Here is a 22,851-nt window from a genome sequence, read left to right on the forward strand (position 1 = left end):
TTTGAGTTTCTGATTAGCCATTCCAAATGAGGCTGTCAGATATGCATTTATCTTTGTGAGCAGAGGGGTGACTTTGAATAGAACGGGAGGCAGGTTTGCCGTAAGCAGTTCCCAGATTCACTTTTCCCTTTAGCTTAGTGATTTGGGGGACCCAAGATATTTTCCTTTCCCAGAAGCCTTTAGAATGAAGACCTAAACATACAGGGAAAATTGTCAATTTTTATGCTTAGCTTCAACAAAGTATGAATAGCTGCTTGGAAATGATTGGACAAAAAGTTATGAATCCAATGGTGATAGAATGGGGAAACACAGCAAGGTCTGTCTAGATTCTTCTTGATATTTCTGATCAGGTGTTCCCTCCTTCTGGGTATGGATAAGTACCCTCTCTGGAATGGGAGTCTTATGACCTACAGTCAAACAAAATAGGTCAGATAATTTATGGCTAGTTTTTATATCGAAAGGTGGAGGGAAAGTTAGAGTAACTTTTTTAGGTTTTATGTCTGCCTTTGGGGAGAAGGGGTTCTGGTTTCTATGACCCACCTTGGGGAAGAGGGATTGTAGTTTCTATGGCTGGCCTTGAAAGAGAATGGGACTGAGTGACAGGAGGGCAGGAGAATATCAGAGCTAAACTTTTACTTCTGAGCCTGCTCCTGAGTCCTTCATTTTGGTGTATTGTTTTCTGAGTCCCAACACAGACCACAGATTATTAAGCCATAATTAGGATGCATGGAGTAGATATACACATAAAAACATACTTATCTCTATGAAACATAGTTCTTAGTGAAAAAAAGAAAAATATGATACATAAAATGCCATTTTTGTACATTAAAAACATACATACCATCAAAGCAAAAGCTGCAACAGTTATATAGGCCAAGAAAGACTATTCACAACATTACAATAGGGAAGAGAGGCTGAAACTGTCTGACTCACCTCCACTGAAACAAATGCAGACAAGTTTTAATCACTAGTGTTAGATAGTATAAAAGTACTGGAGGACATTGCAGGGAGATTGATCAGTGGGGTAGTTAAAGAACATTGAGCTGTTCCTGAGTTTGCAAATGTTTTTCTCTGTGATTAGGCCACGTGGGCTTGCTAACTGCCCCCCATTAAAGTCAGGCTCCCACTCTTCCACAGAGATTGAGAGATAAGGCACGGTCTTCCTTGATTACATTTCAAAGAGATGGATCCTGGGTTGTAAAACTGGCAAGAGGGTAAGATTAACATCTTACAGGAGGTAGAGAAAAAAATGTACAATTATAAGTTTTCTGAAGTAAATGATCTAAATAAAAGGAGGTCAAGGATGTAGAGTTAGGAAGAAGCCTGTCTAAAGTTCAGTCATGATGAAGGGAATTTTAAAGCTGTCTTAGAGTGTTAGATGTCAACATCTAACAACAAAACACATTAGATACAAATACAAATAATTATTGCCTGTCTGGAGAGGCAAGGAAAAATGGTGGTGTTACCGATGGAGGGTCTTGACTAAGAGTCATCCAGGTTCTTGGGGTTTTGAACAAAGAATTGGACATTGGACAAAATGCACAAACAAAGCAATGAAAGAATGAAACAATGAAAACACACTCCACAGACTGGGAGCCACCTTGAGCAAGCAGCTGAAGAGCGATGTTTACAGAATTTTCTGGGATTTAAATATCCTCTAGAGGTTTCCCATTGGTTATTTGGTTTACGCCCTACCTAATGAAGTAGTGGCCCACAACCAGTCTGACTGATCACAGGAGGGGACCAATCGCAGGCTGAAGTTATAAAGTTACACCCCTATGCAAATGAAGACTGAGCCTGTGACCAGTCTGATTGGTTGTGGGAGGGGACCAATCAGAGACAATTTCCAGTTTTCCTCTGCCAGAAGTGGAAAGAGGGGTGGGTTGCAAAGGGAGTAATCCTCTGATGGTTTTGTTACTTGGGCATGGAGAGGTGGGGTTTTTCTTTTGATTCAGTTCTAGGAAGTCTGTGTGAATCAGCCTTAGGCTCCCTGCCTCCAGACCCTATTCTCCTGCCTCAGTGGGGAATAGAGATAACAAGGAAATAAGATAGATTGGCCTGAGATGCATGATTAACTAAACTCTTTCCTCCTGAGGTGGAAAAAAAAAAAAAAAAGAGGAAAAGAAAAAAAAAGAAAGAAACCAAGAGTTATCCATGATAAATTCATTTTCCAGTTCCTTAATCATTAGTGTTGTGGTTCAGCAGCAACTGTCTGGGCTGGTGGCACAGGGATCAAAGAATTTACCAAGACAGTTGTAGGTAAAGAAAGGCAGATTTATTCAAGAAAGCATTAAAATATGTTGCAAGGGAGCAACGGGCAGAATCAGCAAAAGAAGAGTTGATTTCGACGAAACAAAGGCTTGCTGGAGATTTTATATGATGATTCTTAGGCTGCAGAGTGTCACGTGCAGTAGTGATAATGCCAAGGTTGTAGGGAGCTAACTTGTACTGTTGCGGGAATCAGGAGGACCAGAGACACCTCAGGATAAATACAGGGAGATCTTTATTGAGTGCACTCAGACCCAGCAGACTTAACATCCAAAAACTGGGCCCAGAACCAAGACAGCACTTGACTTTCATAGCCACTTCAAAAAGGGGGTGGGCTAGCTTGAAGCAGGCTTACAGTGGCACGAAAGCAAGGATACAGAGGCAGAACAAAGGCAGTTAAGCAAATTGTGACAGGCTCATAACTCAGGATTACACATGACCGTTGCTATGCAGCCCAGATGTCCATTATTTAGGTTTACTCTAGTGCCTAGCACGGGCTTATCCCATAACCTTCACTATGGTGCCCAGGTGGTTGTATCTCAGGCCTGCTCAGATGGTTTATGACCTTCGCTCCACTGCTTAGATAAGCAGAATACTTGAAGTCACTACTTGCAGAGAACAGGAATCTATAAACTCATACCATAAGAGAAAGGAAAATTTGTTTTTCTCCTCCCTATGTTGAGGGAGTGCTAGGATAGACTTCAGGCCACATTAGATAGCATTATCAAGACTTTCCCTGGGTCTGGGCTGTGCCTGTTGCTGCTTCTGGGACAAGTCAGCCTAATACAGGAAAACTTATTTCTTTTTTTTAAATTTTCTTTTTCTTTCTTTCTTTAATTTCCCACCTCAGCGCATGTCTGGTGATAGGCACAGGAAGACGGTGAGTTATTTCTGCAGTAGGGCTATGTGTCCTGGACCATGAAGAAAGACAGACTTAGAGCTTATCTGCGTTCTCTTTTTGCTTCCCCTTGTTTCGCCAGCCTAACTTCCTTTCCCTAATTAGGACGCCACAGTTAGCGGGAACCCGCTTTACAAGTGAAATATCCCTGCGTTATTGAAGCGAACTGGAGTCCCCCACCCAGCACAGCAAAGCCAAACACTGACATGGGGCTAGCAGCGAGAGAAAATGAGGAAATTTTTGAAGGGCACCAAGCAAGGACATTCAGGCAGCTCATGCTTCAGGCCTGCACTCCCTGATGGCTTACAGGTAAGCAGTTTTAAAGGTGGGGAGGCAGAGGTTACAGGCAAAGTCACAGGATAATACCTGGAGGCTATACATTGGTTTGACCGAAAGATGCAGGACATCTTGAAGCAGAAGGGGGATATAGGTGGACTCAAAAATTTTCTGCTTAGCGATTGGTTAAGGAGGCAAAGCTTTGTCTAAAAATTTGGGGAAAAAATGTTTGCTCTGGCTCGTGGCTGCGACTTCCTCCAGGCCCCTCAGGAAGAAATTTAGAACAAAGAACAGCAGTCTGTCCTCAGTTCTCCTTATCTGAGGTCTATGTGCCAGCAGATGATTTGGTGGGAATCTGGGTTTCTGAAAAACAAGTCAGGGACATACGTCAAAATGTTATTTTTAGTTTCTTTAGGGAACAAAACATCTCCTGCCTATAACTTCTTTGGCTATTGTTTTAAGTTATTATTACCTTCTTGCTTATCTAGTTGCTCATTTACTTCTCAAGGCTAGCTAGGTGCCTGGAATTTCCCTTGGAGGAACTGAAGATTTCCTTTTATTTCCATGTTTGGGGTGGCCTGCAGCCCTCTAAGAGGGGTACCTGGTCTGTCTCTCCTGGAGCTGCTGCTCTTTGCTGACTCAAACGTTCTTACCAATGTTCATACCTTTTGACATTTCTCATACCTATTGAACATTTACTTTCTCAATACATCTTGGTTTCAGTTCTTTATAGTTGAGGGTTTTGGCTGGGACCCTGCCAAATTTCCTTGCCTAATTTCTGTTCTATTCACTTGCCTCACTCACTCCCTCATTTCAAAGGGCAATCAGATACCTAGCTGTTCTCGTATTGCTCAATCCTGTCTAGGAATATGGATTTGAACCAGCAAAATCTAATGTGTCACTACAAAAAAAAAATGTAATATGTAAACAAATAGCATTGAATCTTGTGGAAGCCTATTGGAAATGCAAAATATTGGGTCTCACTCAAGAGCTAGTGAATTATAATCTGCATTAATTTTCTTTTTCTTTTCTTTTTTTTTTTTTTTTTTTTTTGAGACCGGATCTCACTTTGTTGCCCAGGCTGGAGAGCAGTGGCACAATCACAGGTCACTGCAGTCTTCGACCTCCTGGGCTCAAGAAGTCCTCTCACCTCAGCCTCCCAAGTAGCTGCAACTACAGGCATAAGCCACCACACCTGACTAATTTTTTAAAAAATTTTTTGTAGAGACACGATCCTACTTTGTTGCCCAGGGTGGAGAATCTGCATTTTAAATCAACTCTCTAGGTAACTTATTTGCCTATTAAAGTTCAAGAAGCATTGTCCTAGGATTAGATGAGGCCCTGATGTCATAGACAACAACAGTCACCTCATTGTATAATTGAGGCAACTGAGAAAAAGAAATTTTTTGACTTCCATGAAGCTATTGTTTTAATTTGTGGGTAGACCGTGATTGGAACCCAGAACACCTGATTCCCATTCAAAGGCTTGCTCTCTAAACCACAGCGCAGCTTGTCATTTCCAGGCTTCCCAGGATTAAGCTCTGGTCAGATTTTTACTTCTCTAGTCTGCATCAGTTTGGCATCAGCCTCAGCTGTTTCTGTCAGCTGCTCTTATTTCTGTCAATCTCTGTGATGGTCCATATGTAGGAACAGCTGTATGCTCCTCCTGCCAGAGCTCTCTCTGGCACTGTGCAGTTGCAGTATGTTCTCATGCATGAAGAATAGTATGAACAGTTATACTGTCTGTCAATACATCACGTGACTCAGGCGCCAGTGGCAAATTTGTGTCGCCTGTGCCTCAATAATATTCACAGACATGAGAATACTTTTATAAGTTTAGAGAATTGTGTCATGCATAACCTCCTGTCACATCTGATATAGGAGAATTTTTGTTTTTCAATTTACTAAAAATTATTCTTCATTAAATGAAATTTTAGTCTTTTGAGTCTGCGAAACCGACTGTCTGTAATCAGGACCCTTCTAGGTTGGAAGTTGGAAAGAAATTGCTATGTGAGTTATTGAATTTTGCAAATGTCAACCATATTACACTCTATCTCTAAAGTATTCAACACTAAATTCTTATTATCCAGGGACAGTTTGTAAATAATAGAAAGTATAATTGCTCAAGTTTGCTGAATACACTTCTCTCAAAAGTTTAAGGTTTGTCTCTAAGGTGGAAATCAACAGAAAGACAGATGGCTGAGACCAGTGATACTACATTCTCAATATTGTGACCAGCTGTCTACAGCAGCTGTAGCCGCTCCCACAAATCCCTTGAGGATAAGAGCAAGAAAAGGCGTGCTCTTTGTTACTGGCCTTGGAGGACAACCTCAATGTGTGCCCTTGATGGGCTGAGTTGAATGATGCGAAACATACCAAGACTTTGATTGCATGTTAGAGAAGGTAGATCCATGACTGAAAGTAGCTCAGGTTCACCCTGTATTGACTTCCCCAGTGGCATAAAGAAGCATGGAAGGAATCCAAGGAGAGCAACTCAGGGACAATAGGAGTATTTGTTCCTAAAACCCAGAGCCACAGGCCTACAAGGACTTCATGCCTCTCTTGGCTATATCATTAATGTCTTAATGTGGAAATCGTAACAGAGGAAGGGCATCTGTCTTTAGTAGTAGGAGAGCCCAGACCTGTCTTACTGCATAAGCCATATATGTGCAAAAAAGAGAATCCAAAGATTCTTAAACGGTTTTAACTGGTTCACTTATATCCAAAGCACCTGAACCCTAATATATTTTGATTTGAAATGTGTCATAGACTATAATATGAGTGGTGACCCTCACCGCACCTTTCTCCATAGTTGTGCAACACAGTGAACTTGCTAATTGCTTCTCCTCTGATTGGAAAAGGAGGTGAGTTGGATGGGTGGTGTGGGGGTGTGTGTGTGTGTGTGTGTGTGTGTGTGTGTGTGTTTTGCACTCCCTCTTGGAGAATGTTATAATGAAACTTAAATTTAACCCTGAGAGGAACTAGAATTTCTTTATGGTATTTAACTATGAAAACAAACAAGTAACTAGATGTTTAAAAGGCACAGCATGAAATTTCTAGCAGTAAGACAGGAATTTCTAGCTGTAAAGTGGAAATCCTGATAAGTTCCAGGATTAAGAGAATGGATTTTCAGTTTGCCCTTGAAATGGAAGCATCATTGTATTATCAAATCTTTTTTCTCTGTTTTTTTTTTTTTACTTGTGTTTGATATTGAAAAACCAGGAGTTAAATACCTAGAGAATTTTTCTAATATATGTTTACCACTTTCAAACTTGTAAGGCATTCTTGAATACTCGATTTCCATGTATTTTAATGTAATCTTACTCTTCTTTGTCTCTGTATTACGTGGGACAGTACCAAGTATGTGCAACACTGTCTCAGATGTTTTTTTATTTTACTCAAAGAACAGTTGCATGAGCTGGAAGGTATGTGAGAGTTCCTAAGAGCAGCAAATTCATCATAGATATTCAAGTATACTCTACTGAATTATCTAATGCTACCTGACTTCTGTCTTACTTATGTGTATTAGGGGTCCCAGATAGAGGCTAAAAATATGTGACACACTGGTGGACAAAGGAATCCAAACTTATTTTATGTGAGAATTTTGGCTGGAAAAGTTGAGCACCTGTGAGAAGCACCAGGGTGGGGAGGATCATCTGGTATCTGTTTCAGATATTGATTATCTAACCAAGGCAAGGATTTATTTCTAAAATTATAAATAAAAGAAGTGTGTGAAGAAAATGAAGGACCCACTGAAAAATAGTGCCTAAGCCACCTTATATCTGTGCCTCAGTAAATAAGTAGGCATAATGGGGATTCTCCTAATTTCTTCTTTGAATACAGCTTAGTGTCTCTGCCTATAGCAGGAATAACAGCAGATATAGTGGCATACCTACCATCTCAGTGGTTTGGTGTTTTGAGGTAATTGAAAGACAGCTCCTTCGTCACTGACATCAGTTTCTTAAAGGGGGAATAGACTGCAGTAATAGTGAGGAAGCTCTGCCCTCAGGTGGCTTCAAAGAGTGTAAATCAATGAAGGGTAGCCAGAGCCAGATAATATTGAGAGTTCATAAGTACATAAGAAACATCTCTTGGGGATTCCAAGAAACACTTGGTAGAAATTACTTGCTAGTAATTGCACAGGAGAGCAAGAGCTTATGGTATGCACCTAGGTGAGGTGAACAAGGGCCAGTGACATTTGAAATTTTATTTTGGCCTTTGCACAGATTGGTGTGGCCAAGAAGAAATTCGGTCACATCTCCTACCTGTTATCCTGTGCGCAAAGGAAAGAAGAATGAATGAAAACTATCTTTTATAGCCATTTAAAAAATAGATCATGTGCATTGTATTGAGCCAAATAACATTTCCTACAAAGCTCTTCATCTAATAACTTAAAGATATGGGATCATCATGGCCAACTCTGTAAGAATAATGGATGCTAGCAAAAAATAAAATAATACAAGAAAGACATCTAAAGTTATAAAAGTGTGCAGGACAAATAATTATGATGATATCTACTATATGAGAATATTTATATAAGAAACGCTTTAAATTATTTTAAATATTAATAATTTTTATAATTTAATTGTTAAATCACTTTACAGTCTAAATTCTTGGGCACATAGCTATTTAAATATTCTTTTCCTGTGAATTCCCATCATTTCCAGATTGGCTTCTTTTGATGATTTTCTTTCTGGTTATGTATCACAATATCCTGCTTCTTTATATACTTAGAAATTTTTGTTTGGATGCTGGATATTGTGATATTAAATTATTAAATTATATATTTTGTTGTATTCTTTTAAGTTGTGTTAGACTTGGTTCTCCTAGGCAATTACTTGTGGACTAGTTTGATCTTTTCAGTCTTGTTTTGAAAGCCTTTTAGGAAAAAGCTAGGTCTGTCTTTGCACTAGAGATAATTTATCCCCCTTACTCTACCTAATACCCTAATATTAAAAGGTCTTTTTACTCTGGCTGAAAGAAACACAAACTATTTCTATCCCTATGTGAACACCAGAAATTATTTGGCCTGTTGATTTCTCGTGGATCCTTTCAGATCTTCAGGTAATTTCTTTTCATGACTGCTTAGCTCTATATTCAGCCAAAGTCTTCAGGGGATCCTTCTGCCTATCTCCAGAGTTCTATTTCTATGCAACTCTTTCATTTCTGGTCGTCTTGCCTGTAACTTCAAGTTGCCCTGGCCTCCCCAAACTGATCTCTATTTTCTTACTCATAGAAACTTCCAGCCTCTGTTTGAATACTCCCCATAGACTGCAGGGGAGGAGACCGCACCCAGGTTGCAAACTGGAGCACTTTTAAGGCTCACCTTGTTTTGTTTTTCTTCTCTCAATAATTGCAATCTTGTATTGCTTGTTAGACAATGTGTGAAATGGTTTGCTTTATGTATTTTTGTCATTTTCTAGTTGCCTAAGTCAAAAGATAAAATCAAATATCTGTTACTCCACCATGGCCAATATCAGAAGTATTAATTCATTTATTTTTACAATTTATCATTCATAAAATTTTCTAGTATATTCTTTTCTGTCAAGCTAAAATGTGAATAACTTAGGAGTGGAGATCATGTCCTGTTTCTCTTTGTATCATCAGCATCTCCCATTGAATTTTACACAGGGCCCTAAAAAAGATAAATAATATTCATTCAGCATTTCTGTATCATACAATTGGTATAAGTGCTTTTAGGTTAATCCTACTTTAGCCCCGCACCGTTGAAATTCTCATTTTGTAGATAAGTAAGAAACTGAGATACAGAAAGTTTCGATAACTTGCCCAGGATCATAATTCAGGTGTGCTCAGCACATCTTCTATGAATAAATGCCTGACTGCCTAATGAGTTCTGGGGAAAAATGACCATAATATATACAATGGTAATTAAACCATACAGTTAAACTAAAACTTTTTTATTTATTTATTTATTTTTAGAGCCAGAAAGAGCCAGAGAGATTTAAATCACAAAAGATTTAGGTGACCGAGAAAAGGACCAACAAATCTGGCCTTTAATACAACTGTTGGGAACTCATTGTCTAGCAAGTCTTTATTTTATTGCCAAATGCCCATAAAAAGATACCAAGGGAGCTATTTCTAGTGCTTCAGCAAAATAGAACAACTTATAACTGGATGACCCTCAAAAACCTCCAGTTCAATAGGTCCACCCCTAAGAAACCCCTCCTATTTTCCTTTCTTTTTTTTTTCTTCTTCTGTTTTTTTTTTTTTTTAGACGAAGTCTCACTCTGTCACCCAGGCTGGAGTGCAGTGGCTTGATCTTGGCTCACAGCAACCTCTGCCTCCCAGGTTCAAGCAATTCTCATGCCTCAGCCTGTTGAGCAGCTGAGACTACAGGCATGCACCACCACACACAGCTAATTTTTGTATTTTTAGTAGAGACGGGGTTTCACCATGTTGGCCAGACTAGTCTTGAACTCCTGACCTCAAGTGATCTGCCTGCGTCAGCCTCCCAAAGTGCTGGTATTACAGGTGTGAGCCACCGCGCCTGGCCCTGTGTTCCTTTTCTCATCAAATATCTTTCTTTTTCACTCTGTATAGCTAGAGGCTTGGTACCTTCCTGAGTCATACCTCTTTTTCTCTCACTTCTCACATCATCTTTACTTGATCTGGCCAATAGAGGTTAAAACCAAGTCTCTAGAAATATTCAAGAGTGCCTAATAAGAAAATATTTTTTAACTTTACATGCCTTACTAAAAGTAGTGATATTTTATTATCTATTATTTTATTTAAAAATGGAGAGAGACATTGAGGACCGGATAAGTTGTAGCATGGTCAAAATCTGTGGAAAATAAGTGAACTTAGCCAGGACTAGAATTGGAGATCTCTGAATCCCTGTTAGGTTTCTTTCATGGTATTTAAAAACAAAAACAAAAACAAAACAAAACAACAGAAAAGCGAGGTCTCACTCTGCCACCCAGGATGGAGTGTAGTGGTGCAATCACAGCTCATTGCAGCCTCAACTTCCAGGGCTCAATGAATCCTCCAATCTTGGCCTTCCAAAATGTTGGGATTACAGGTGTGAGCCACTGCACCCAGCCTCCCTTCGTGGTATATGCAAGATACTTCATGGATTGAATTTTCTCCCAGACATGATCAGAGTTTTCCTTCAGTTTGGCATGATCATTGCTCATCCTGGGGCACCATCTCAGTTTCTGGCACACCAAACACCACCATAGTCGTGCAGAAAGAATGTGTTGAAGATAAGAAATGTGTGCCATTGGGGGAGGGCTGGGGGTTGGGGAGAGCATTAGGAAAAAGAACTAATGCATGCTGGGCTTAGTACATGGGTGATGGATTGATAGGTGCAGCAAACCACCATGGCACACGTTTAACTATGTAACAAACCTGCACATCCTGCACATGTACCCTGGAACTTAAAAAAAATAATAAAAAAAGAAATGTATTTAATGTAGTGTATACCAGTGTCAAGTTTTCCTTTGTATCAAGGTCATGATTCTGTTCACTGTCTCTCTCAACACTTCCTGTACCTTCTCATTCCTCAAGCTGTAGATAAAAGGGTTCAGGAGAGGGGTCACCACTGTGATGAGGACAGCGGCCACCTTGTCATAATCCAGTGAGGAGTTCTGATTGGGTCTCACATACACAAAGATGTTGCTCCCGTGGGCAATGGAGACAACAGTGATGTGAGAAGCACAGGTAGAAAAAGCTTTCTGACGGCCCTGGGTGGAGGGGATACGCAGGATGGTAGAAATTATGTACACGTAGGACCCAGTAGTGAATGCCAGGGAGCTCAGGATGACAAGGGCAGAGAGGAGAAAGTTTATCTTCTCAATGAGGTGAGTATTTATACAGGCCACCTGAAGAAGAGGGGCAATGTCACAGAAGAAATGATTAATTTCTTTCCTACAGTAAGGTAGCCTTGTCACTACAATGGTTGGAAACAACACAGACAGGAAGGCTCCCACCCAGCATCCCAGAACCAGCAGAAGGCAGGCCCTGCTGTTCATGATGACCGTGTAGTGCAGTGGGTCGCAGATAGCCATGTAGCGGTCAAAGGACATCACCGCCAAGAGGATAAACTCCACCGTCCCCAGAAAGAAGTAGAAATATGTTTGGATCATGCAACCAGCAAAAGATATGGTTTTCTCTTCTCCTAGGAGGCAGGCCAACAACTTTGGGGTAATGACAGTGGTGTATAAGATATCCAGAAAGGACAAATTACTGAGGAAGAAGTACATTGGAGTTTGCAGGCGATGATCAATCCATATCAGGGAGATGATGGTGATGTTTCCTGTTGCTGTTAATGTGTAAGTTACCACAAGAACCACGAAGAGAGATATTCGAATCTCCAGGAGAGCTGGGAAGGCAATTAGGGTGATTTCAGTCACAGTGCTCCAGTTTCCCATGACAACTACTATATGGTGGGCAGGGTTTCCCTGAAGAAACAAGAAAAGGAAAATCAGCTTAGGTAATTTTGTAAATATCTGCTGAGAATGTATTGCGGAGAGTGGCTTATATTGGGAGATGTAGACCTGGTATGTAGTCCTCTATCTGCAAGTTAATTATTGTGCCACACTGGGAAAGTCAAGATACTATTTAGGTACATGGTTTTTTTTTGTTTGTTTGTTTGTTTTTCCTGTAAAATGACGGAATAAGGCTGGATAAAAAAAACTCAACTTCCTTCTAGTTATAAAATTCTATTCCTTTTCATTGATGAAATTTCTAATCTTTTCTATTCTTTTGGCTTCATTTTCTCAGCTAAAAATGTGCTAATGTACTGATGTATACTTAATCAGAATGCCCTTCTATTATTCTGGTTTACAGTTCCTGAGTGGCAAATCCTTTAGAAACGTAAAGTCTTTTCTATAACAAACTTTCTTTCACTTTGGTGGTTGTCATTTAATAAAGGTTGATTTAGTTTTTTCTACATTTGTAGATATCCAGAGTCTCCGAATTCTTAACATCTTTCCCTAGCATGTATAGATCTGTGAAAACTGTCCAGAGATTATTAAAAGGAACAACAGCTGACGGTTCCTATTAATCATTTTAGATGACACCTCAAAAAGAAATAATGAGTGTCTCGCCCTTAGATTATGCTTTTGTGTCTAAAACCTACCTTCTACAAGTTCTGTGCAGTATCTAATATGTATCATATATCTGGCTGATCATTTGAGAGCACCGTATATAGTGTGATAACATCAGAGAGGCACAAATTATATACAGGAAGGCAACATAGAGGTAATTCACCTCACTTCATTTACTTTGTCAGCCGACATTGTGAAACTGTACTTCAAGATCATCTAGTTTGTTCTTTGTCCCACAATGTGAGAAATGATTATTTTGCAGAGACCTCCCCATTTTAGGTAAAAACCAGCCCATGCTTTAACTCTGACCTTGGTGCTTTATTTATCTAGATATCACTTAGCACCTCCTTAATAAATCCTTAATAGATAAGTTAGCATCTCCTCCACTCTTTGCTACTGATCGTGGCCACCTCTTTTTCTTTTTCCAAACTCCCCCTGCACTTTCCTCCAAGATAAAAAATTTACCCTCTTATTTTATTTTTCTTTTTATTATACAAGAAAGACATTTTTAGTGCAAAGAATTAAAAAATGCAAGTGCAGAAAAGAAAATTATAATCTGTAATCGAACTTCTTAGAGATACAGTGACCTTTTGGTGTATATAGTTTTAGGCTATTTTAAAGTTCAAAGTACATACTTGTGTATCTAAAATAAATCATACTAGGAGACTATTTTGTAATTAGCTTTTTTCCTTTTCCTTTCTTTCTCTTTTCTTTCTTTCTTCCTTTTTCTTAAAACAATTTAGCATCTTTCCATGTCAACTCCTAGAAGTCTTCACAATCATTTTTGAGAATTGTATAGTGTTTGATTCTATCAGTGGGACTGTGATATATTTAGCCAGTTGCTTAATGCTGAAAATTTAGATGGTTTACATTTCTTGCTTGTATAAATAATGATCAAATAAATATTCTTCCACATAAATTTTTTGTGCACTTGTCTTATTAATTCCCGAGAATCTTTTCCAATAGGGTGTTTGCCCTCACTATTTGTTACTCAGTACAAAAACCCAAGAAAGATTTATTCTTATAATATTAGATTTTACTTTACTAGAGCAGTTGATAATGTAAAATCACTTACAGATCTCTTTCATGGGTTCTTAGTCTGAGGGAATAGTTCTATATCATAGCTGGGCTGGGGTAGCTGATGCCTCAATGGCATAGAAATACTGTGCTCTTTTTTTTTTTAAATAAATCTTATTTTATGCTCTGAACTTCAGTTTTCTCATCTTAGAATGCTGGGCTGCACATTTAAAAGGTCCATTAAAGTCTTAGGGTCCTACTATCAGTACTTTTTGACTCCCTGACCCACCCCAAAGATTGTAACTTCTTTTATTCTCCAGTAAATAAACTCCTAAATTATTTGCTAAGTTACTGCATAAAAGTGGCTAATCATGAATACATATACTAATATAATAGCATGGGAAATTACATATGAACTTTCTATACAAGGCATTTTGTTACCTGTTTTTTGTGTGTCTTGTATTATTATTTCCATGGGGTTTTTCAGCAGGCAAATTATATTTTACAATTTTTTTCGGTTTTCAATAAAAATAGATCTTTATTGAGTTTTTAGTAGTTGCCAGACATGATCGAAAGCAGTTTACTCTTTTAATTTTCATTATAACCTATGAGATAAGCACTACCTTTATTCTTATTTTTTTATTTTACTTTAAGTATATTTTACATTTTAAGACTCAAGTATTAATTAGATTAATGTGAGATAGTTTGAAGAATTGGGTTCCAATCCTGGTTTTTACCACTTGCAGCTCTTTTTTATTGAATTAAATTCGTCACCTCTGAGTCATAGCTTCTTTATCAGAGAAATAAAGATAATTCTAATGTTCAAAATGACCTGCCATGAGGTTTAAATTAAATCATATATGTGACAATACCTAATAGATTCTTGCTAAAAAATTGATTCTTTTAAGAAAGGAGATGAACAATTAACACTAATTGTTTCTTATCTGAATTAATAACAATAAGTCATGAAAAGATTAATTTTTAACTGAGGAATATTTCTAATGCATACTTAACCTGAATCATTCCAGATTGGCTTCTGACTCCATTCATTAAGAATATTGAAAGATTAGAGCGACTATACACAGAAAAGTAAATTTAACAAAAGTTATATCATATTAGTAAATAAACATATGCAAAAAAGTATACTTACATTGCATCAATTATATAATGTAAACTTTTCCTGTTTTGTATGTGAGACATAGGTAGAGGCTCAAACTTTATCATATATAAATGTATGAATTAATTCATAGCATTGTATTTTGTACTTTGAATTTATTATTATTTTTGCTAATTCTATTTCTAACTCATAGAAATATCTCTCAAAGATGAAATAACCCTTACTAGGCCACTGACCATCCAACCCCATAATGAATCCTTCTCATTAGCACTCTCACCGCATATGCATCCAGCCATTGCTTGGATGACTTCAGTGATTAGTAAATTACTATCTTGCTTTACCACTGGCTGGATGAAAAACTCTTATCTTGAGTGGAAAACTCTGTTATGTAACTTCCAAATACATGTTCACGTACTGATTTTATGGATCAAATACTAACCTTTTCACCATGACAGCCCTTCAAACACCTTTATGTTCTAGATATCCTCCTTGCCCTACATTCCAGTGAATTCAGCACAACACAAATTCTAGAGTCTGTTTTTGCAGATAAAGAAGGTAATACCTGTGGTAAGTAAGTGGCCTTAAAAACTTAGAGTAGATAGATCTTCCTCAACTTCCATTTATGGAGGCTGAAGCAGGAGGATTGCTTGAGGCCAGGAGTTTGATATCAGCCTGGGCAGTATAGCAAGACCCCATCTCTACCAATATTTTGAAAAAACTAGCCAGGTATGGTGGTGAGCATCTGTGGTCCTAGTTACTCTGGAGATGGAGGTGGCAGGATTGCTTGAGCCCAGCAGTTCCAGGTTGCAGTGAGCTATGACCATGGCGTTGCACTCCAGCTTGGGCAACAGAGCGAGACCTTGTCTCTAAAATCAATCGATTAATCAATCAAAAACTATTAAGTCTTAATTCTCAGGTATTTTCCCCATTCAGAGTGACTATATTTTGTCTTTTTGCTTAATTTTCAATTATTTCAATTATTCAGTAACTGAGTTTTTTGAATATAGAATTTCATACAAGCAACTCATCTAGATGTGGCTAAATGGATTTCTTCTTAAGCATACTTACCAAGGGATGGCTCAGTGAAGGGAACTCAGTAAAGTTTTTGGTGTTTCATTTTACCTTCATGACTATTAGACTATCCTTCCATTGAAGCTTTTACTCAATGATCTTGAATGTTATAAATGTTTCACCAGATTAAAGGTGACTTTAATTTTTTTTAACTACTTCTTTCCTTTTCTCAATAGAGTAAAGCTTCCCTTCCTTTCTTCTGTCAGTTTTTGTTAAGTAAGTGGATGAATTATGTTTTTTTCATGGGTTTATTTGCCTTAGAGATTTAGATGAGAACAGCTCTTGGGGATATGGGTCAAAAGAAGTTAATTAATATTGTTATAAAAGAATGTTGGTTCTGAACTTCCTAATCAGAAAGTTTTAGACTGTCTACAAGTAGAGCAGTTAGGGATTCCTTGGGGATTTTCCCAGACATTTTGCTTCTTCCATTTAAAGAGAAAAGAATACCTTAAAAATAATCTATAAGGAAGCTAAAAGCATGGAACACTTTTCATCCTTCTTAAGTTTATTGATATAATCAGAAATATTCTACAACAGTAAATATTCTAGAGTTTCAGATACTATGTACTACCTCTCTCTGTCTACGTTAGCATAATTTTTTAAAAAGTTCCAGTTGAAAATAGGGTCATAGTAAATTCCACAATGTTTTTCCTCCCTGTCCTTTCCCTGTTGAAAAAGATGAGCCGTTGTGTAATAATCACATCGTGCCATTATCAAAACACCTCATGTACCCCATAAATATATACACCTACTATGTACCCACGAAAATTAAAAATAGAAAAATTGTAAAAAGATGGGCTCTTGTACAGAAGTCAGCCTTGTACAACTCTGTTCTTCCATGCTCTTGACCTATCTCTTATGGCTACAAACTTTCCATAAGTTTCCACTGTATTCTTTGATTTTTTTTAATGAAAATTCTTTCAAACATTTTTTACTTAACTAAAAAACCCTCTTTTTTTTTTTTAAACCTTAACAGTAACCTGACTTTCACTTGAGGACACTGGTTCCACTGAGTTGAACGCACATCCTTCTTTCCATGTACAAGAGCGATAGAGTTACATAGCTGCAGGGACATTATAACAATATAAAAATATTATGTAGTTTTATATTTATATTCTATCAATTATATATTATGTGATATGCTATATGACATACATTACATAAGTGTACAATGTGTTTATACTTTTATATATAAATTTGTTATATAAGTATATAGTATATTTATACTATATTATTAATTTTATGATAATATAATAATTTGTTGTTTTTGTTATTTTGCTCCCAATTTCTGCTTTCAATAAGAAATTATTTCTCTGGTTTCTGATAAAACTCCTCCGAGGCTCATAGCATACAATCTTTTTTATTTTTCTAGTATACCATCTTATAAATTTTCTTTGATTCCGCCATTTATTGCCTGAGTTTCAAGAAATAAGCAAATAACTGCTATAGAGCCTTCAAGTAAGACCATTATGGAAGTCATTTTTTAATTGACTCTTTCAGTGGTTCATGTGAACAGCTTTTCTCAGCTGTTTTGATTTGCTTTTGTTGATATTCAACCTAAAACTTGAATGTCTTTTTTTCAAAAATAATCTCAACTTTTATTTTAGATTTCAGGGTACATATACAGGTTTGTTACATGGGTATGTTGCACGATGCTGAGGTTTGGGGTATGGATGATTCCGTCACTTGGGTAATGGGCATAGTACCCAATAGGTAGTTTTCCAGCCCACACACCCCTCCCTCCTTTCCCCCCTAGTAGTTCTCAGTGTCTATTATTCCTATCTTTATGTCCACATGTACCCAATGTTTAGCTCCCACTTATAAGTGAACACATGTGGTATTTGGTTTTCTGTTCCCATGCTAATTCACTTAGGATAATGGCCTCTGGCTACAGCCATGTTGCTGCAAAGGATATGATTTCATTCTTTCTCATGGCCATGTAGTAGTCCATGGTGTATATGTACCACATTTTCTTTATTCCACCATTGACGGGCACCTAGGTTGATTCTATGTCTTTTGCTATTGTGAATAGTGCTGCAATGAACATATGTGTGCATGTGTCTTTCTGATAGAACAATTTTATATTCCTCTAGGTATATATTCAGTAATGAGATTGCTGGGTCATATGGTAGTTTTAAGTTCTTTGAGAGTCATATGGTCGTTTTAAGTTCTTTTAGAAATCTCCAAACTGCTTTCCACAATGGCTGAACTAATTTACATCTCACCAACAGTATATAAGCATTTCCTTTTCTCTGCAGCCTTACTGGCATCTGTTATTTTTTATTATTTTAACTTTTATTTTAGGTTCATGGGTACATGTGTAGGCTTGTTGTGTAGGTAAATTGTATGTTATGGGGATTTGGTGTACAGATCATTTTGTCACCCAGGTATTATAAATAGTACACAATAAGTAGTGTTTCCATCCTCACCCCCCTCCCACCCTCCAATCTCAAGTAGGCCTCTGTGTCTGTTGCTCCCTTCTTTGTGGCCATATATACTCAAAGTTTAGCTCCCACTCGTAAGTGAGAATAGGCAATATTTGGTTTTCTGTTCCTGTATTAACTCACTTAGGATAATGGCCTCCAGCTGCATTCACGTTGCTGAAAACGACATGGTCTCATCCTTTTTTAAAGTTGCATAGTATTCTATTAGGTATATGTACCACATGTTTTAATCCAGTCTACAGTTAATGGGCATTTAGGTTGATTCCATGTCTTTGCTATTGTGAATAGTGCTGCAGTGAACATACTTGTTCATGTGTCTTTATGGTAGAATGATTTACATTCCTTTGGGTATATACCCCGTAATGGGATTGCTGGATTAAATGGCAATTCTGTTTTAAGTTCTTTGGGAAATCTCCAAACTGCTTTCCACAATGGTTGAACTAATGTATACTCCCACCAGAGGTGTATAATCATTCCCTTTTCTCAACAACCTCTCCAGCCTCTGTTATTTCTTGCCTTTTTAGTAATAGCCATTCTGACTGATATGAGATGGTATCTTCTTATGGTTTTGATTTGCATTTATCTAATGGTTAGTAATGTTGAGCATTTTTTCATGTTTGTTGGTCACTTGTGTGTTTTCTTTTGCAAAGTGCCGGTTCATGTCTTTTAATTATTTTTTTAATGGGTTGTTTGTCTTTTGCTTGTAAATTTGTTTAGGTTCCTTATTGATTGTACATATTAGATCTTTGTTGGATGCATAGTTTGCAAATATTTTCTCCCATTCTGTAGGATGTCTGTTTACTCTGTTGATAGTTTCTTTTGCTGTGCAGAAGCTCTTTAGTTTAATTAGGTCCCACTTGTCAATTTTTGTTTTGTTGCTATTTCTTTTGAGGACTTAATCACAAATTCTTTGTCAAGGCTGTTGTCAAGAAGGGCATTTCATAGGTTTTCTTTGAGGAATTTTATAGTTTGAGTTCTTACATTTAAATCTTTAAAAAATTTGAATATCTTAATCTTATTTCCAATGATTATTTCCTCTTAAGTCATCAACTCCATTTTTGTAAATTAGATCTTGCCATTACATATAAATAATCTCTGAAATGTCAAATTCTAGGGTACCAATTTTGAACTATATTCCTCTAATTAAACAACTGTTTCTATGCACTTATTTCATGGCTTGGTCCAGATCTCCAGCTGATAAATTCCTCCATTTTCTAGCAACCTTTCTGCATATATATATATTTATATATGTACACACACACACATATACATATAGATAGAAGTCCAGATCTCCAGCTGATAAATTCCTCCATTTTCTAGCAACCTTTCTGCATATATATATATATTTATATATATACACACACACACATATACATATAGATAGAGCGATATTTTAGAAAACTACATATATATATATACATGTGAAACAAATTTTTCTTTCAGTATTTTAAAGATGTTACTTCACTATCTTCTGGTTTGCACTGCTTCTCACAGGAAATCTGCTGTTAATCTATCTTTGTTTCTTAGTATGTAATATATCCATTTTGGGTTTTTTTCTGCTTTAAGATCTTCTCTTTATCAATGGTTTTAAGAAATTTGATTATCATGTGGTTTGGTGTAGTTTTATCCGTATCTCTTTTGCTTGGGGGTTTGTTGAGCTTCTTGAACCTTTGAGATTATAATTTTTATCAAATTTGGAAAATTTTTGGTCACTATTTTTTCAGATTTTTTCCATTCTCATTTTACTTCAGTGACTCTAAGTGGGATTTGCTTGAAGTTGTACCACATTTCACTGATATTCTGGGGTTTTTTTTTTGTTTTATCTTTTCTCCTTTAGGTATTGTTTTTATTGGTATGTGTTCAAGTTCATTACATTTTTCTCCTACAATGCCCAATCTGTCGATAATTTTATCCTGTGTAATTTTTCATCTCAGACATTGTACTTTTCATCTCTACTTAACAACAAGTGGAATGTAGACATAGTAACAGTCTCAATGTCTTTGATAATTCTATTGTCTCTGCCATTTCCGGATCAATTTCAGTTGATTGACTTGTGAGTTTGTTTTCCTGCTTCTTTATATATCTGTTAATTTTTTGATTGGATACGAAATGCTGTGAAATTTGCCTTCTTGGGTGCAGGATATTTTTGTACTCCTAAAAACATTCTGAAGCTTTTTTCTGGGGTGTAGTTCAGTTGCTTGGAGACAGTTTGATTATTTTGGATCTTGTTTTCAGTCTTTGAATAAGTTAAAGTACTCTTAGAAGACTATCACATCACAAGCACCTAATAAGAATGAGCAGAGAAAGACACACACACAGATTTTTGTTGCGGAATGAGCACTTCCACAAGTGGAAGCTGACACAAAAATGAGAGCCTATGGGAAATATACATCCCCCTAATGTCACTTCAAGCGACATTGTACAATGACATTAAGGGGACATTGTAAGCCTTAAGATTTTAGGTGCTACATTGACATCTCTAAGCTCCACAGGGCCTAAGTGAGTTCCCCTGCTTTCACTAGATATGCCTCCACCCGGCAGCAGGAAAGCCTCCCCTACTTGGCCATTTTTCCTATCAGTCAGGCCAACTGCACCCCACTCAGTATTCAACCTAACAGGCTTCCATCTCCTGCCAGCCCAGCAGCTGTTCACTCTGCCCCGAGTGCCACCGCCGTGTCACCCTGCTTGGCATGCAGTGTCCTCCTCTCTCAGCTGTGAATATATGTAACTAATAAACTACTCTCAACTTTATCTGTCCGTCATTGAGTATCATGTATTTGGCCATCTCTAGAATCATGGGGTAGAACAACCTCCCTCACCAATGGGGTGAAGGTAGTGCCACATTTCAATTGTGTGTGTGTATGTGTATGGGGTACCCAGAAGTAGTCTAAGTTGAGGAGCAGTTTAGAGGAATTCTGATAAGAAAATACCTAAGAAATACTGAATTAGAATAGTGGTAAATTAGATAGGATGGCATCAAGTGACTGCCTATAAGTAATAATTGCCATTTAAACACTTTGTCTTCTCCATACTTTCTATTTTAGATATCCTCGCTGCCAAAACCCAGACCAATTCCTCATTTTTAACTATTTATGACCACAAGACACTTTACTTTTAGGGAGCCCCATATAATGGAGATAAAATGTGAGAAGGTTAGTCTGGGGTTCAGCGCAAACCTTTTTCATCCATTGGCAAGCCAAGGATGTTATTTTATAATGAATACATTTGACTTTAACAAACATTTTCACTAGTATTTTCCTAATCTTTCCTCTCTCACCTCCACAAATAATCTTGGTGTCTTATATGAAGTGTATTATAATCTGTTATTCTCTATGTTATATTTATAGATACTCTCTTCCAACATTGAATATGTGTTTAATGACTGTTGGCTGAATGGAAAGCTAGACACCATAGGGGAAATGATATTAAATTCTCAGACAGAATGACAGGTTCCAGTGCTGACTCTCTTACTACCTAGATTTTAAAAAATTCTGCTTCACATGGGCCTCAGTTTTCTCATCTGTAAAATGAAAATGTTTAAGTAAGATACTCTGTAAAGCCCCTTCTGCTTCAGATCTTTGATTTTATGTCTTTGTCTATGAGGGATAGTCCCAAAATTACCTTTACTGCGATTTTTACAACGAAGGGAAACAGTATTGTATAGTAATTAAGAGCATGGGTTTTGAAGTCAGATAGTTCTTGGTTTGACTCCACTTAACACCTGAGTGACTTTGGGACAGTTAACGTCTCAACTCCTCAGTTGTTTCATCCATCAAATGGGGATAATATGAACGCCATAGAATTATCCTAAAAGTGAAATAAGATGAAGCATGTGAGGCCTTTGGCAGGTTTCCTGACACATGGTAAGTGCTAAGTATCTGAGTTACCGATGACTGGGGCTGAATAAAGGTCATCCACTTTCTAAGCATTAGTGCTTGAAAGACAGACAATGTTTAATGTATTCTCATAAATAGGAATGCTTTGCTTCTGAAACACTTGTCTAGGATAGACTGCTGATGGGTTTGTAATTGGAGTTATAGTAGGCCTTTATCTCTATAGATTTATGGAGAAATAAATTTCTGTCTAGAATTAAAGTTCTTAATTTGTGTTTATAGATCTCTCATACATATTAAAGGAGTCTGTGAACTTGTACTTGCATGAAAAAATTTGAATTTATGAATATTTGTGGTTTTTTTCTAGAGGATAATTTCTCTCAATGGGGCTTATGTAATTTTGTTTCTGATACTGCTATTGTTTTATTTATCTTGCTCATATTTTGTGTTCTAACTCTTCATGTTTTGTTTCTTGAGACAGGGTCTTGCTCTGTCACCTAAACTGGAGTGCAGTGGTGTGATTATGGCTCACTGCAGCCTTGACCTCCCAGGCTCGAGCAATCCTCCCAACTCAGCTTCCTGAGTAGCTGGGACTACAGGTGTGCACCACCATGCCCAGGTAGTTTTTAAATTTTTTTTGTGGAGATCGGGGTCGGGGGGCTTCTCACTATGTTGCCCAAGCTGGCCTCAAACTCCTGGGCTCAAGCAGTGCTTTCACCTCGGCCTCCTACACTGCTGGGACTACAGGCGTGAGCTACAACAACTGGCTGTGTGCTAACTCTTTAATTAAAAAACCCAGGCACTGCATTTTGAATACTTAAATTTTCTAGCCTCATTTTATCACATTGCCATTTATAGA

At 37.5% G+C, this 22,851-nt stretch overlaps 1 protein-coding gene and 1 long non-coding RNA gene across 3 annotated transcripts; one reads left to right on the forward strand and one right to left on the reverse strand.

Moving 5' to 3' along the window:
- The first annotated feature begins 2,869 nt into the window (after positions 1-2,869).
- On the forward strand, positions 2,870-22,510 carry LOC105369544 (uncharacterized). Of its 2 annotated transcripts, none has more exons than XR_948125.1 (3): positions 2,870-3,148; positions 3,249-3,475; positions 22,474-22,510. It is a non-coding gene; the product is annotated as an uncharacterized LOC105369544 (long non-coding RNA). The 2 variants fall into 2 exon arrangements; XR_948126.1 differs by having other exon boundaries at positions 3,272-3,475.
- OR6M1 (olfactory receptor family 6 subfamily M member 1) lies at positions 10,891-11,832 on the reverse strand. Its single transcript, NM_001005325.1, has one exon. The coding sequence runs from the start codon at positions 11,830-11,832 to the stop codon at positions 10,891-10,893; it is 942 nt and encodes a 313-aa protein (NP_001005325.1).
- Positions 22,511-22,851: the final 341 nt, after the last annotated feature.

Source organism: Homo sapiens, chromosome 11 (genome assembly GCF_000001405.40).
Source record: "Homo sapiens chromosome 11, GRCh38.p14 Primary Assembly".
NCBI lineage: Eukaryota > Metazoa > Chordata > Mammalia > Primates > Hominidae > Homo > Homo sapiens.

Bases quoted from the DNA above. Each gene is read 5' to 3' on its own strand.
- OR6M1 (NM_001005325.1), bottom strand. From the start codon at position 11,832: ATGGGAAACTGGAGCACTGTGACTGAAATCACCCTAATTGCCTTCCCA.